Source organism: Homo sapiens, chromosome 9, assembly GCF_000001405.40.
Source record: "Homo sapiens chromosome 9, GRCh38.p14 Primary Assembly".
NCBI lineage: Eukaryota > Metazoa > Chordata > Mammalia > Primates > Hominidae > Homo > Homo sapiens.
The window spans coordinates 7,652,682-7,670,494 of NC_000009.12; the positions used below are offsets into that span (position 1 = coordinate 7,652,682).

Consider the following 17,813-nt stretch of genomic DNA (forward strand, 5'->3'; position numbering starts at 1 on the left):
ATGCAAGCCAACTTTGCAAAGAACAATAATAATGGAGGCATTTTATATCCAGTGGATTTAATGAGCATTCTTCCCTTTAATCATTATAAGTTATAATAGGACAAAATTTAAATGATTCTCAGATTGGAGGAGTTGTTCATCTGTTGTGAGAGAGAACAGATTATTCCAGTCCCTTTTGAACAGCTGGTATTTTGTTCCTTATGTAAAATAAAGGACATTCCCAGTAGCATTACAGTACTGGACTGAGGATACACAAGTTGCAAGGATGAGGAGGTAAATCCATAGACTAGTTATTAGAGACAGAGTCTTGGTTTCCTTTCTTGGCCCACCTGAATAATGTTACACTCTGAGTGCTCAGACCAATTTCTTAGTTTTCCTGGGCCTAACAGGGTCAAGGAGAAGTTATAGCTCAGGAAGTTCCCAAGTGAGAATGATGAGTCAAATTCTTAAAAAGCATTTTTATTTTTTTCTAGTGGAATAGGTTATTTTATATGGGAGTGCATCAGAGGTGACTAGAATAGATTATCCATTTTTTGAGTGGAATGGGTTATTCATTCCCTACATACAAGGTATGTGTTGATGGAAAAAAAAGTCCACTCCTGCCCCTCCTGCTTTACACTTCCAGCTTAGCTACAGTGAAGTGGAGGCGGGATCCTTCCAGAGCTCGGCACTATAAATGGGCTGCTTGCCTGATATGAGAAATGTTTAATAATGCAGTGTCCTTGGGACTGCCTGCCCACCTGTCACAATGCCGGCCTTTCCCTCCGGATATTGTCAGGCTCAGTCTATTGTTCATGCACCAAACCTTCTGACACCTATTGTTATAAATGACCCTGCCTTTTGGAAGCTATTCATCATTTCCATAAATGGAACCGTTCTTCCTCTTACAGCACACATTTCCTTCCTGTTCTTACTTAGCAAGCAAGATGGACAGTTCCGAATAACTGCAGCTACGTAGTGTGGTAACAGTCCATTAAGAAACTCACCTTTCAAAATAAGATGAGACTTATTGAAAGACTTTAATTGCCATCAAGAATTTCACTTCTACACAGCCTGTCAAACACATGTATGACAGTATTAGCAGCACCAATAGCCACAGAGCATAAACAAATTCACATTCTAGTTCTCAACTTTTTCTGCATGGGGGAAGCTTATGTGGGGGATATGTGTGTGTTTGTGTGTGTACTTTTGGGTGGGAAGGACTGATTAACATGTAAATATCCATGCAAATCAGAGTAGTCCCTCTTGAGTATTTATCTACTTATAAAATTGTCCCAACTTGTTTGAAGTTGTAGTGTTCTCTGCAGTGTATGTATAGCTAAACAGTCTAGCAAATGGCCTGCTGACTTCAGAACCATTGTGTTGCACAATTCTAGTGGCATGTTTACATTACATTCTGTATGAATTGTGTTTCTTGCAATTGTGTGGTGGCTCTGCCCATCTTGATTCCTCTAGAAGATTTAATCCTCATTTTTCAAAGGCAGGGCTTCTTTGTCTTACTAGAAGTGCCTCCAATGTCTCTCTTGCTCACTAGGTTTTTAGTTACAACCGTGCTCTAGCAGTGATTAACTCTTTCCTAATGTCTACTCTTGTGTTTTGCTGTGTCCTAAAACAGGGTGTTGGTCCATTCACTCTGTTTCCTGTTAGCATCTATGTAGATGTTATATTTGAGCTGGGGTTTCACTCTTGTTGCCCAAACTGTAGCACAACGGCGCAAACTTGACTAACTGCAACCTCCGCCAGCAGCCCCCCGCCCCAGGTTTAAGTGATTCTCCTCCCTCAGCCTCCCGATAGCTGGGATTACAGGCGTGTGCCAACACATCAGGCTAATTTTTATATTTGTAGTAGAGATGGGGTTTCGTCACGTTGGCCAGGCTGGTCTCGAACTCCTAACCTCAGGTGATCCACGTGCCTTGGCCTCCCAAAGTGCTAGGATTACAGGCGTGAGCCATCCCGCCCGGCCCTCGGTTTTTTTTTTTCTGTAATGCTGGAGTGGAAAGGGAACTTTGTCATTACATCCCAGTTTTACCCGTTACTAACGATGAGATCAAGATTGGGGGCGACAGCAACTGGAAGGTTCCAGTTCATTCTCGTGAGCTCCAGCTTGTGTTTGTGCCTTCTGACTTATCCAGGCTGTCTCTTATTTAACATCCATCTTATTTTCCCCACTGTCTGGCCTGTGGACTTCAATTGTTAGCATCAGTCCTGAAGACAACAAACTTACTGGGACCACTTAACCCGCTCCCACGGCCGCATAAGTCCAATGTCTGTAACAAATCTTTTTATAAAAACACACCACATGCAGGCACACACACACACACACACACACACACGAGAGAGAGAATGAGAATCTTTTAGTGGTTTGGTTTCCCTGGTTGAACCTTAGCCGACATATATACAATATATAAAGTGCCAGGATTATGGAAGATAGTCAATAATGAATGGACAGATGAATGACAGAGACCTGCTTGTCTGAATGAGGATGGAGAAAGTGAGGAGGTACACAAGAACTTAAATTTCTTGAGCACCTACTATATGCCAGAAATTATGCTCTATGTTGAGGGTACAGTTGTGTAAAATCAGACTTGGTTCTTGTTTTCATGACAGTTGCAGTTTAGTGGCATTCTTTATCTTCATTGCTAGCTTTTCTGACTTCCTGCTGATGGCCATTTTAAGGCTACATGGCATATAGGTAATGTTGAAGTTACTAAAGAAAGCAAATGAAATACACACATTTTCTTCTTTTTCAACACCTCGCAATCATGACTGATCCACTTGCTGTAATACTCAGCAAATGTTTAATGGAGGAAGGAAGTTAGGGCAGGTGTGATTCTGACATCTAACAAAGGAGACAGAGCACCCACTCCTCTGGGATATGTTGCGAGCTTGTGAGGAGCAGGCTAACCATACTGACCAGGTTTTCTATTTCCCTGTTATTAATCCCTTCCACAAGGAACATTTTGACCAAGTAGGAAAGTCTAAATAGGGGTCTGGCTCTCTTTGCTGATATGGTCTTTAAGCAGAAAGGCCATCTCTCTGGCATAAGCTGGTTTGTGATCTTGGGCTCTTCAGAATTGTTATCTCTCTACGGTATGATATTGACTTAGAAAATTTTTATAATCTATTGTATATCTTTGATGTATAGGATTCCAGAATAAAAAAAAAATTGTCAGGAAGGATCTGGTAAGGTTACTGCTTACTAGGAGTTTTACTAAGAGTATATACCACAACCATGACATGGGCAGTAAATAATAAAGACAGGTGTCTGAAATCCTGGAGGTCATGTCCTTATCCTTCAGGTCATGAGGAACAGCCAGGTTGGTTGAAGACTCAGGTTGGTTTTGGAGAAGAACCAGGGCACACAATGGAAGCATGCTTATATAAGTAACTGATAAAAAAGAAGGGATGCTCACAAGATAAAAATCAGCTCTGTGCTCATTTGGTTTTCCTCATTCCAGGCACATAATTCTGATTCCTGCCAGAATAGTTACATAAAATCTATACTTATAACAATAACCCAATGATTTTATAGCTGAGGACTTTACAAAGCCGCCCAAAGATTTGTTGAGAATCACTGACCCCACATTTTGTAATACTGTGTATTAATTATAATAGATTCTAGCTTAATGCAGGCATCTTATCAAGATAATAGTCTATATTTTGGTCTAATCTTCTCTTTGAAATTAGATTCCATTGATACTCTTCTGGATTCCATTATTATCACACATTAATGAACCTCAGGATGCTTGATCCTTGTCTGCCTCCGTCTCTGTTTGTGTATCTTTCTTTCTCTCTCTCTCTCTCACACACACACACACACACACACACACACACACACACACACACACCCCTACCGTATACCTTATGTGAACTTTTGGAATTGTTCAGCTTACAGCTCCTGGTAGAAGTAGTTCTTTGACTGACTTGTGGAGTGTTACCCTACACATCTACAGCTTAGTATTTGGCACAGTTGCCAGGGGACTCTTTCACAGGTTTCTGAAGTTCTTCCTCTGTGTGTCTCCTTCCTCTCCAGTACTCTGACCCTCAAATTTGAGCCCTCTCATTCGTCACCAACTCTGATCTCCCTCCTCAACTCAGCAAGATGGTTGTACTGTGCTTGGCGTGTCCTTCCCTGATTCACGTGCTTCCAGGCAGAAAGCCAAGTTATTCACAGGGCTCCCTTTGTTTTCTTTCTCTAAAGGATCACGGTCCTAGACTGTAGGTTGTTTAATGTGTGAAAGCCATTGTTTTAAATATTTTCTTCCTTTTTTTGTTGTTTCTGGCTGGGTGGTAGGTCAGGTCTGGGACCTAGGGACTCAGTGCAGCAGAGAACGAAGCTCTGCCTCTCTTTTTGGACCAGGAATAACTACATGATGCTCCATGTTGTTGCCTTCTCAATCTGGGTGTTCTCCCTGGGTGTGCACACATCCTTCTCCAACAGGCTATGACAAAGGATGGGGGTAATTTAAACTCCCTTGGGGGAAAAGAATCACTTTCTAATTAAAGTCCAAATTGAAAACTGCTTTCCTACTTTGGGAAGAAATATCTATCTATGATACTTCTGACTTCCTGCAGATAAATATCATTAGACAACCTCCTCTTTCCTGGCTGTGGCAGCTCAGAATGTGTGAGTGTTCATTTTTTTAACATTTCTTGCCCAATATTATGGAAGTTGCATATCTTTTCATGTGTACTCTTTTAGAATATAGTGATCAATGCAGAAATGTTGACGTTCTAGCTAATGGAATGTGTCTCTAGAAGGCCTCTCTGTCTTGCTCTAGGGAAGACTGGAGAAATAACACTAATGACTAACATTTGTGTTTCACTTCACAGATTACAAAGACTTTCACATCATTATTTCATTGAATCTTCACAATTACTTCGAGAAATACGCAAGGCAAATATACTGTATTTTTCAAATTCACAAGAAAGGAACTAACTGAAAAACTTCAAACTTTTGGTTCAAACGATTGGCTGGGCACGGTGGCTCACGCCTGTAATCCCAGCACTTTGGGAGGCCGAGACGGGCAGATCACGAGGTCAGGAGATCGAGACCATCCACAATTTTACAACTTTATTGTAAGTCCCTTTGGTACGATTTATCATGAGTATAACTCAAATAAGTGCTTAATATATGATTTCCAACTTAATGCAATATAATAGAAATTCAACTTTGAGATTTCTACAATTTTAATTTTTAGAGGAATTGCCCAGGTTAATTCAAAAGTGTGTTGCAAATGTGCTCTATTTTTTTTGTATTCTGTTATCTTGCCTGTGGGGAGCTAGGCTTTCCAGATCTTGAGGGCATAAATCAAGCGCCACCAGGTGGCAGCTTAAACAAATTGCCAGTATAGCCTCTGGTTGGAAATAACCTCCATCACGTGAAGTTTACAAGCCTGGCTGGGTTCGGGCGCGGCGGCTCACGCCTATAATCCCAGCACTTTGGGAGGCTGAGGCGGGTGGATCACGAGGTCAAGAGATCAAGATCATCCTGGCCAACATGGTGAAACCCCGTCTCTACTAAAAATACAAAAATTAGCCGGGCGTGGCGTGCGTGCCTGTAGTCCCAGCTACTCGGGAGGCTGAGGCAGGAGAATTGCTTGAACCGGGGAGGTGGAGGCTGCAGTGAGCTGAGATCGTGCCACTGCACTCTGGCCTGGGCGACAGAGCGAGACTCCATCTCAAAAAAAAAAAAAAAAAAAAAAAAAAGTCTGTTATTGCCAGGTGATCAGAATGGCCAACATTACCCTAAATGTAGAACAAATAAGGAAGAAGGTGAGTTTTGCAGAAGACTCTGGGTAGAATAATGTAGTAGATACTGTTGGAGTACCTACCCAATTCTCACACCTTTTCTTTTTGAATGATTCCCCAAAGTCCTAATTTAGGATAGTGGTTCTTTAGAACTTGGAAAAGATATTTAATCATGATGTGGATGTTTCCAGAAGCTAAAAAAAAAAAAAAAAAGAAAAAGAAAATTTAATCCATTAATCATTTACTGGGTACCTACTATGTACCAAGCTCTATGCAACCACATGGAGATACAAGATGAAGAAGCAGCTTTTAGGTGACACAGCTAAGTTAATACATAGCAGGTTTCAGCAGAGAATGAGAAGAAACTTCACTCTGTGATCCTGTTGCTGAGTGAGCTTTTGCTACTTAGAGGTAGCTGAGCTTTGCACAAAGGAAACCACCTTAGAGTTTCCTAAGAAGGCTATAATCCTTGGAGTCTATGGATAGGGACAATGAGTCTTCTTGTCAATTCCATGTATGCGAAAGGGGAGCTTAGAGTGCCCTAGGTGGGCCAGGCTAAAATGAGATGTCTTAATGAACAATGTATCCTTGCTGATGGGAGATAAATAGGCCAATAGCTGAGGATATAGATCCTCCTATATGAATGGAGGATCCTGATTTAATAATATAATAACAATAACATTAATGTTAACTGCCAATTATGGTACACCTAATATAAGCCAAATACTGTGTCAGATACACCACAAACACACAAGATAGCTATTACTACCCAGTTTTACAAACAATAACATTGAGGCTCTAGGAAGTCATATTACCTTCCTGAGGTCACAGACCTAGTGAATGTGAGAGTTGAATTTGGTTCTATACCTATGTGACCAAAAGTCTCTACATGAACCGTAGCTGGTAATATTAAATAATATTGAGTGACTGTGGGTCTACTCAATGATGTTTTCGCTGATGCTGAATGTGTTACACTTAGTGATTTCTCTCTCCCTTTTTTAAAACTAAAAATGTCTCCTGATGCACTCATATCAGCATGCTGAGGAGTGGGCAGTTGGTATAAGCTTGTAGGCTTTCTAGTCTAGAGATTGCTCCCCCCTTCTGACTGAGGCACTTTTGCCAAAAACATAGGCAATCCCAATAAAGCGAGGTGGGCTATTTGTCTCAAGAGCATTGATACAGAAGACAAGTGAATAAATGTTAGTTTTCAGTGAAAAGGAGTAAAAGTAAAAGGTGAGGAGTAAGAGAGGGTAGTAAGAGAAAAAAAAATGGTTATTAGGCTATTTATATCTCCTCTGCAGCCTTCCCTCTGCTATCTGGCTGGGCCTGGTCCTGAATAAGTAGCTGAAGGCACTGGTTGGTATCTTGCCTTGCTCAGTATATACGTTGAATGGGCAGGGGAAAATGATTATTTCCCATTGCACTGTTATTAGAAATTGAAGTCCCCATATAACAGAAGCAATTTTTTGGTTCTGTTAAGCTGTGGTTTGCTACCTCGTGAAAAATAATGGTTGTGCAAAATATATATGCTGAGTATGACAATTTCAAGCTTTAAATCTTCAAAGAAAATTCACATCATTTTCCATTTAAAGAGATATGACCATGTTTGGGTATGTGTGTAATTAGAAAATTAGGTAATGGGAGATTATGGCAACCAAATTTGCTAGTATCTTTATTCTATCTGGGGCGATATGTGCTCATGCATGCGTATGCACAGGCACATACACATTCAGCTCAGGACAATGAAAGGAGGTTGGCTCATTTTGCTTTACAGAAAGTTCAGATAAAAAAATTTATTAGACCCTTATCACTCTTACCTGTCTGCAGCTCTCTCTCTCAGACCTTGCCTTATTCATTTATGGCTTAACAATGATGCATCTGAAGGCACCAAGCCTCAGGGACTTGGGGAAGTACAGCACCAGTTCATGTTTTGTAATTCAAGTTAAGGTTACTATTTGTCCATAGGCTGATTTTATTTTGGCCTTGGGCCTCTAGACCTGTGCTCATTTTTGTGGCAATAAGAGCAATTCCCTTCAAGCAGAATCTAACCTGAAGGGATCTCATTCGTGCAAAAGTCTAAGTTGGTACAGGAAAGGTGGCCTGAGGAACAGACAGCAAAGAAAGGAATTGATGTCCACCTGGCCTGAGGGCGAATCACGTCTGAATTATTTCTTAATTCTTACCCATTTTATAGCAAACATTAAACATTAGGGGATATAGCAATGAGTTACACATGCTCCTCACCTTCAAGGAGGTGAGGATCTAATAAAGGAGATGGGCTTGTAAAAGAACAATTTAAGTTCCATAAGATGATTACCGTAATGGGGGAATAGGTAAAAATACATACAGCATATGGAGAAGAGGCCATTCACTCACCCTCTTTTTCTAAAATCTCAGACATTAATATTTATGAGTGTTTCCTCCCTCTGACCATTCATAGTTAACCAAGTCCTGTCATTTCTAATTTTTTACTGTCTCACAAACCTGCTTAATCATCTCCATTTCCACAATAAAATCTGACTTGAGGAAGCCCCATTCCTGCCTGGATAACTGCAGCAGGCTTCTTCTAGGTCTCCCTGCTTTTCATTGCCTCCTTCACATCCTTCTCCATATTTAATCCTTCAGTGTTTCTTCAGTGACTTCAGGAAGATATCCAAGGAAGTCCTGGCTGGTATCATGTTCCTTGGTTCCCTTCATTAATTCCTCCAATGTTTATTGAATACCTACTACGTGTCAGTGCACTCTGTAGTGCTAGCAAAGCTTATGGCATTTGGCCGAGATAGTCCCCAAATAAAATTCACGTTATTTTATCTATCGATAAGCTCAAAACCTTCTCTAACTATTCCATATATTTGTTGGAGAATAAAATTAACCTGTGAGAATGCCTTAAAAACACAGAAGTACACAGGTAGGCCTTGCCATGGCATATCCCAGGATGTTGGAGAAGTGTTATTTCTCAAGTACAGGAAAGGAGAATCTAATACATTTAAAAATAATTTTTGTTTTTGATAGTTGCTCTTTGGGCAGCTTAGTGTAGTCATTAAGAACATCTCAATTTAGTACTTAGCCTGTTAGGGTTGCCACAACAAAATACCATAAACTGGGTAGCTTTTCACTAACAGGCATTTATTTTTCATAGTTCTTGAGGCTGGAAGTTCAAGATGAAGGTGCTGGCAGATTCAATGTCTGGTGAGGGCCCCATTTCTGGTTCATAGATGGGGTCTTCTTGCTATGTCATCATATAGTGCAAGGGGCAAGGAGGTTTTCTGGGGCCTCTTTTATCAGAACACTAGTCCCATTCACGAGGCCTTTGCTACTATGACCTGATTACCTCCCAAAGGCCCCACCTCCTAATACTATCACCTTGACGATTAAGTTTTGACATAGTAATTTTGGGGGAGGACACAAACATTCCGACCACAGTAGTACTGGACCTGCCACTTGGGATTAACTCTGTAACCTTGGGCAAGTTCCTTAACCTCATTAAGGCTGAATTAGGGGATCTGTAAAAAGGGGATGATAAGAATATCCACAGTTGTTGTGAGGATAAAATTGAAGACAAAGGGAAAGCATTTATCTCAGTACCTGTCATGAAATAGATGCTTAATAAATGGCCGCTATTGTTACTTTCCTTTCTGAAACACACGTGTTTCATGGGGCCAGTACACAGTCAAGAGTGAGAAAGCAGTTTCAGTAAGTGCATGAACTTACTATGCTTGTTTACACCTGGAGAACTTTGGTCCATTTATCTCTCTTTTCTCTCCCATATTCCCAAACTCTAAAATCCCTTATTTCTGTGCAAAATATGTTAAGAACAAGAATCTGAAGTGGAGGGAAGTCATCTTAGAGAGAAAAAAAGTTTGTCTGTGAAAGTCAATTCCACACAAAGCAAATCTGGCCAGTGCAGGGTCATTAGCTGAGCAATTCTCAGGCAGGCCTGGTCCAGGTGTGGGTGGACAAAAATGATCCTGCTGTGTGAACGAACAGAACAAAGGTTCACAGCTTGTAAAGGGGGAGCCCCTGTCTCATGGAGGGCGCATGAAAAATGCTGACTTCTTAGAGAAAATACGCTATTTGGTTTGCAATATATATGTATATATGTATATATTTACCCCTCTTGGGTCTTATCAAAAAGACCATATTTTTAAAAGATTTAGCTTTTTTCCAATCCAAATTGGGGCTGCGTCTAAGTTAATGGTGCCTAGGGACAGATGTACAGCTGATCGCATTCCGAAAAGTGCTCTCCAGAGACGCCCTTCAGAAACTCCGGCCTGACGACAGAGCAAGAGACAGATCTCCTGAGATCGTTCAAGCAAAAGGAAACATATTTTATTTACAACATTACTAATAAATCTTTCCTACTGCACTTTAGGTTTCCTCTCTTTAAGTAGGCTTTATGATATCTCATAAGGGAGAGTTGGCGTCACTGGAAATGCCTGTCTAGGAGCTGCACCTTGGGAAATGAACTGCCTAAATGAACCCAAAGGATTCTCAACCCAATAACACCTGCCTCAGCTTTTCTGTCTCCATCAACCTTTCTCATTTCTACACCTACATAAAGAAGCATGTTGCCCAGCTAATGCAGAGCAAATACCCTGTGGATATATTCGTTTCCTTCCTTTTTCTTCTTACTCCCTTCTTTCTTCATCCGTCTTTCTTGGTTGTTTTCTTCTTTCTCAGTTTTTTTCTTTTCTAGCTCTTTTCTCACATCCATTTCTTCTCAACAAGCTTTACTTTTGCAAACTGCATTTACCCTTTCTTTTCTTCCCTACCTTTCTTTCTCACCCCCTTTTCAGGCATTCACTGAAGGAAGAAGATTTGTCCTTTAAGTGTTCAACAGGATGGCTGTCATTCTCCAGGCTGTATCTGTGCAGCATCAGAGAATGTTGGGTCTTCGTGTGTTTTTCTTACTTTATCTTTAAAAATCATTGGTCATAGGTTTAGGGAAATTCTGATAATAATTATACCTTGATTTTGTTTGTTTGTTTTCCTACTGTTCACCAAGCCTTTCTCCTTTCTTTATCTCATTTAGTCTTTACATACTGTCGGCCTTCCAGAGACAATGTTCAATATTTGTAGATTACAGCAACCTTCCAAATCTGGGGTCACTAATATTACCCAGATATGGAACCTGAAAAACAGAAGATGATTTTGCATTTCATTTCCACAAACATTTACTGACTGGCTTCTCTGTACCAGGTACCATGTACCCAAAGACAAAGAAGCTGCAGTTTTGTCTTCTAGGAACCTCTAGTCTACTGCACACAAGTTCAATGCAAAGAGCTAAGTGTTAAGCTACTGACAGAAACAAAGGGACACTGTAAAACAGAGGAAACATTGATTTTTTAAAATGTATTTTGGTGGGAAATGGATATTATGGAGAATAAAAGATGACAGAGGAGCTGGACTTTAAAGAGCGGGATTGGGCGTAGTGACTCACGCCTGTAATCTCAGCACTCTGAGAGGTCAAGGAGAGTGGATTGCTTGAGTCCAGGAGTTCAATACCAGCCTAGGCAATATGGTGAAACCCCATCTCTACAAAAAATACAAAAATTAACTGAGCGTGGTGGCATATGCCTGTAGTTCCAGCTATTCGGAAGGCTGAGGCAGGTGTTACTTGAGTCCGGGTGGTTGAGGCTGCAGTGAGCTGTGATTGTCCCACTGCACTCCAGCTGGGGCAATGCATGACACCCTGTCTCAGAAAAAAAAAAAAAAGAAGGAAGAAAGAAAGAGCAGGATTTCTGTACATTGTGACTGGAAGGGCACTTAAGCAAAGAGAACAGCCTGAACAAAGAAATGAATCATATAACAAGTGTTTATTTATGCCATAAATTAGTAGACTAGTCTGAGATGGGTGAATAAGTATTGGTAGGACAATAGTAAAAAATAAGACCAAATTATTGCTGCATCCATGATTGTGAAGGTTTTGTGCTATAGGATTAAGACTTTGCTTATACAAATAATACATTATGGAGAATTCTGGTGAAACCCTTACGGGGGGATTTGAGTCATAACTCACCCCATATTATAACAATCTTCCTTCTTATGATGGTAGAGGATATTATTCCATTTTGACTATTTTTTCTTGGAATCTGCCAAACTGTTTTTTTATCATGTAAGATATCTGTATTTTTGTCCCAAAGAGAATAATAACATCTGAAAATTCTCTTCTCTTCTGGGATTTTGGACCCTGCTAAAGGACCAATAAGACTTAACTCCAGGGACTAGTTCTGAACGTAAAACTCCGTTAGTTGATATTTGATATATACTATGTCCAAGCCTGCAAGTGTCTAGGACAACACAGACACAAAGTTTTTCACATTCAGGCAAAAGAGGCAAAAAGTAATTTGTAATATATCTAATTATAATTTAGGCATTGCATTTAGTAGGAGATAAAAGGGTGTGGGTAAATCTGTTTACTGGTTTCTATTTCTTGATATCCTGACATTATCACGCCATTATGATTAAAATAATCAAAATGTGGGTCTAGCCCAAAGGGCAGAATCTTTCCAGTTTGGGCCAGATTCCCAAATTAATTCTTGGCCATTGAAATAGAGGGAGGCTTAGAGAAGAAATTGGCTGCAACCGAAAGGACCTATTAAGATGTAATGGCTGCATTCAAGTAATGGGAAGAAGGAGAAGTATAGTAATAGAAGGGATTCCAGATATATTTCAAGAGGTCAAATTGATAAATAAGGAAGTGGAAAGAGGATTCAGGGAGGATTCACAGGGTTGTAGATTTTAAGAATTAGTTCATACTGTGATTAGATAGGATAGCAAACTCAGAAGGGAGAGAAAGTGACAGCTGAAGGAAAAGATCCTAAATTTGTTTTTGGACATGTTGGGAATGAAGTGTCCAGAGCACAGCCCAGCAGAGACATTGAGCATACAATTGGAAATTTATATTTGAAGCTCAGTAGAGAGGTTCAGCATGGAGAAATGAAATGAAATAATAACACACAGGGAATTAGGATTCTTGAATCAGATCCTGAGTCTATCTAAGTGAAATTGGGAAGGTTGACAATTTACCTCTCTGGACCTCAGTGTCTTCGTCTGAAATATCCAAATTCCTTTCTGAAAACCCCATTGAGCAGTGTAAACAATGCTGGCAGGTGAAACCCTTTCCTGGCTTTTGCATCCTGTCTCCTGATTTGTGTGATGGGCTCAAGGAAGAGTAAGGTTGAGAAACAATTGCAGTTTGTAGGCTAACTTTTTTGTGATAGCTCTAGTGGCTCTTACTGTTTAGAAAACTGTTTATCATCTTGGAAAATTACTTCAATCTTCAGTTTCAAACACTCTTGTGTATTTCAAGGAAAAAATAACTGCACCAAAAATCAAAAACAGCATCATCAACAAACAACTTATCCTAAAAAGTGCAGTTCATATTTGAAAATGTTGGCAGTTCCTTTGTTTCAACGTAAGTATGTGAAGATTGTGAGGTTACTAAAGTGCTTGATCCAGTGGAGTTCTAAAAAACAAATAAAAGACCCAAAGAATTCCTTTGTTAGCACTTGGCCTTAGTGACTGTCAATCTCTAGCTCCCCAAGGAGAACTTTATCTTCCATGAGAACAAACCCATGCAGTTGCTTGTTGTGGATTAGGTGTGTGATTAATGCCCCTGCTCTCCAATCTCAGCTGCTAAGGAGATCAGATGGGTCCAAATCAGACCTCACTTGATGCTGGGCGTTAAGTGATGTTGCGAAAACCTCATGAATCGTCAGGAATGCAGCCTCTGCCACTCATCAGTGAAAGGAGCAGGGAATTGGTAAAATGGTGGGAGAAGTTTTATAGAATTATATACAGCTAGAGAAGCAGATCCTAGAAGGGCTATTTAAAAATTGTACATGATAAGAAACATCATAAGGAGGGGAAATGCAATTTAAAAGCATAACTTGCATCTAAGGAAAGTGGATCTTGTCCATCCTTTTACTGCTAAAGGAGTAATCTGTGTACCCTGAAAGATTTGAGATTATAAAGGTAGTTCAGAATTAGGAGTTTGCCAGTGAATCAATAATTCTCAATCCTGATACATTATTATCAGCTAGAGTGCTTTATAAGCTTGAGGAAGCAAGCTCAGATCCTATCCAGAAATTCTGATTTAATATGCCTGGAGTGGGGCTGGAGCAGTTTTACTCAGGCAACTATAACCTTGGTGTTCCTCCTTTATTTGAAATAAGGCCTTTCTGGGGTGCTTGTTAAGAATATGGATTCCAGCGTTTTATACACCAAGCTTAATTTAGTAAAAGGAATATACACAGCTATGTGTTGAAGTGCATGATGGTTAGTTTTATGTGTCAACTTGGCTAGGCCATAGTACCCAAGTATTTGGCCAAATACTAGTTTGGATATTGCAGTAAAGGTATTTTTTAGATGAGGTTAACAACAGTAGACTTTGAGTAAAGCAGATTGTCCTTTATAATGTGGACTAACCTCACCCAATCAGTTGAAGGCCTTAAGAGAAGAAAGACTGACCTCCCCCAAGAAAGAGGGAAATCTGCCAGCCTGCCGGCCTACCTTATGGATTTTGGACTTGCCAGCCTCCACAGTTGTGTGAGCCAATTTCTTTTTTCTTTTTTTTTTTTTTTTTATTATACTTTAAGTTTTAGGGTACATGTGCACATTGTGCAGGTTAGTTACATATGTATACATGTGCCATGCTGGTGCGCTGCACCCACTAACTCGTCATCTAGCATTAGGTATATCTCCCAATGCTATCCCTCCCCCCTCCCCCCACCCCACCACCGTCCCCAGAGTGTGATATTCCCCTTCCTGTGTCCATGTGATCTCATCGTTCAATTTCCACCTATGAGTGAGAATATGCGGTGTTTGTTTTTTTGTTCTTGCGATAGTTTACTGAGAATGATGGTTTCCAGTTTCATCCATGTCCCTACAAAGGACATGAACTCATCATTTTTTATGGCTGCATAGTATTCCATGTTGTATATGTGCCACATTTTCTTAATCCAGTCTATCATTGTTGGACATTTGGGTTGGTTCCAAGTCTTTGCTATTGTGAATAATGCCACAATAAACATACGTGTACATGTGTCTTTATAGCAGCATGATTTATAGTCCTTTGGGTATATACCCAGTAATGGGATGGCTGGGTCAAATGGTATTTCTAGTTCTAGATCCCTGAGGAATCGCCACACTGACTTCCACAATGGTTGAACTAGTTTACAGTCCCACCAACAGTGTAAAAGTGTTCCTATTTCTCCACATCCTCTCCAGTACCTGTTGTTTCCTGACTTTTTAATGATTGCCATTCTAACTGGTGTGAGATGATATCTCATAGTGGTTTTGATTTGCATTTCTCTGATGGCCAGTGATGATGAGCATTACAGGAGCTGAAATTGTGGCAATAATCAATAGTTTACCAACCAAAAAGAGTCCAGGACCAGATGGATTCACAGCCGAATTCTACCAGAGGTACAAGGAGGAACTGGTACCATTCCTTCTGAAACTATTCCAATCAATAGAAAAAGAGGGAATCCTCCCTAACTCATTTTATGAGGCCAGCATCATTCTGATACCAAAGCCGGGCAGAGACACAACCAAAAAAGAGAATTTTAGACCAATATCCTTGATGAACATTGATGCAAAAATCCTCAATAAAATACTGGCAAACCGAATCCAGCAGCACATCAAAAAGCTTATCCACCATGATCAAGTGGGCTTCATCCCTGGGATGCAAGGCTGGTTCAATATACACAAATCAATAAATGTAATCCAGCATATAAACAGAGCCAAAGACAAAAACCACATGATTATCTCAATAGATGCAGAAAAAGCCTTTGACAAAATTCAACAACCCTTCATGCTAAAAACTCTCAATAAATTAGGTATTGATGGGACGTACTTCAAAATAATAAGAGCTATCTATGACAAACCCACAGCCAATATCATACTGAATGGGCAAAAACTGGAAGCATTCCCTTTGAAAACTGGCACAAGACAGGGATGCCCTCTCTCACCGCTCCTATTCAACATAGTGTTGGAAGTTCTGGCCAGGGCAATCAGGCAGGAGAAGGAAATAAAGGGTATTCAATTGGGAAAAGAGGAAGTCAAATTGTCCCTGTTTGCAGACGACATGATTGTTTATCTAGAAAACCCCATCGTCTCAGCCCAAAATCTCCTTAAGCTGATGAGCCAATTTCTTAAAATAAATTCCTTAGAAAGAGAGATTTATTTTAAGGAACTGGCTCACCCAATTGGCACACACACACACACACACACACACACACAATTAATTATATATGTACATCCTGTGGGTTCTGTTTCTCTGAGAACTCTGACTACTACAGAGTAATATACCCACCTTAGTGATCCACACCCTGTCAATAAAATTTTGCTCCACAGAATAAAATAATTTAGTTGAATCATAAAGTCAAAGCTATGGGTGACTATGGTTACTACTCCCCAAGCCCAGAAAATGTAGATTAATCCTAGGGAGAGCATACTTACCACAAAACATGAAATGGGAGTTCAAGCTAATGCTACATAGATTTTAAAGGGATGGGTAATAATAGCTAACATCTAATTACACCAGAAACTACCATCATCTTTAACTTTTTCCTTAATCCTAGCTTCCTTTTTCTTTTTATGCATAAGCCCATCTTCTGAAATTAGACTTAGTAACAAGTTCATGTAATTAAAGGTCCAAGTTATCAGGATTTGCACTAATGCTGCATTCAACATGTATAGAAGATATGTGAATAAAATCTATATAGATACAGATACAGGTATAAGTATAGATATATATTCATCTAGAACTATATGAAGAGCTGTGCGGGTTACTTGAGAGTCATTCTTTGGAATGATCTCTCGCTGTTATTATTTTATTCTCTTGCTAACAAATATCACATTTTTAAAACCTGTCACGTCATGGGTGTTCTTTTTCATTCACACAGCACATTTTCACTGAGTGCATCCTCAAGTCTGATGCATGGCTTGGCTACGGGGAGGGGTGATGTTACTCTTGCCTGGGAGGAAACCAGGGAATGAATGGAAAAGAGAGTTGACATCAAACAAATATTTGCAGTAATATGTGGTAATACGTATAAAAACTGGGAAAATGCCATGGGAGGCAAAGAAAGGAGTGAACAGGGAAGATATTACAGAAGAGATGACTTTGTACACTGGGTTTTAAAATATGAGGAGTAGTTTTCCAGTTGAAGGAAAGGGAAGGAATGACAGAGACAGAGGTGGTGACATCAGCAGTCAAAGGACATTTATGAATTTAAAAGAATAAGACTGGACAGATTCTGGATGTGGATCTGAGGAAAAAGAGTTCAGAGTGACTTCTATAGAGACATATATCTTTTGATATTGATTTTAAATACAGGTAACTTTATGGAGTTAGGTTGGTAGAGATGGCATCTATTTCCTTAAATAAGGAGGGAATAATTATAAATTCCCTCCTTAAATAAGGAGGGAATAAATTTTGCTATTGTAATATTCCTTTCAGTTCCACAATCCTATGCCTCTATAGGAAGATAAATCTAATGAACAAAATTAAAGACTTGAGATAGCCTAGAAGAAATACATGAAAAGAGATCATTTGTTTTCTTGGCATTAACATTAAATATTCCTTAAAGAAAAGGAAATTCTGGAAAAAAGGAAAAAGTTGTATCAGTGGTTCCAGTTAAACTAGGAGGAATGAACACAAGCATTTATCAACGCTTCCTCCTGAAAGTCTTTCAAAATGACTATAATTGAATATAAAATAAAAACTGCAGTGACAAATGGAGCAGCAGAGGGGATGATAGCAGAAGAGGGATGTCAGCAAAGTTTTGAGGATGGTAGGCGGATGAGTCCACGGGAACTGACGGAATGGAGTAGAGAACACAGAAGCTGAGGCCTGAAAAATGTAAAGTGAATGAGAAGAAAGCCAGTCTGTGCCCCCAGAAGTCTGGAAGTGCCTACAAAGTAGAGTTGTCAGGAATTTCTGAAGGCTGGAGTCGGACTGGAAACAGGGTTGGTTAAAAGTTGTGTAAGGAGCTGTTAGAACCCCTATCCACTTCTCTGTTTGTGAGAATGGGGCTCTTTACTTCCCTAACTAG

General features: G+C 39.9%; 1 long non-coding RNA gene across 1 annotated transcript in view, besides 1 other annotated feature; it reads left to right on the plus strand.

Annotated features, from left to right (window-relative positions):
• Positions 1-4,275: 4,275 nt before the first annotated feature.
• Positions 4,276-17,813, plus strand: part of LOC124902118 (uncharacterized) — a 65,144-nt gene continuing 51,606 nt past the window's right edge. Inside the window, exons 1-2 of the long non-coding RNA XR_007061415.1 lie at positions 4,276-4,627; positions 4,834-5,079. This is a non-coding gene — a long non-coding RNA (uncharacterized LOC124902118). The remainder of the gene's footprint in view (positions 4,628-4,833; positions 5,080-17,813) is intronic.
• Positions 12,975-13,628: an enhancer, noted in NCBI's record as "NANOG hESC enhancer chr9:7665656-7666309 (GRCh37/hg19 assembly coordinates)". NCBI's record gives its function as "activates a minimal SCP1, AML or CMV promoter by ChIP-STARR-seq in naive H9 embryonic stem cells {active_cell/tissue: H9 hESC(naive)}" and the evidence as "EXISTENCE:reporter gene assay evidence [ECO:0000049][PMID:30033119]".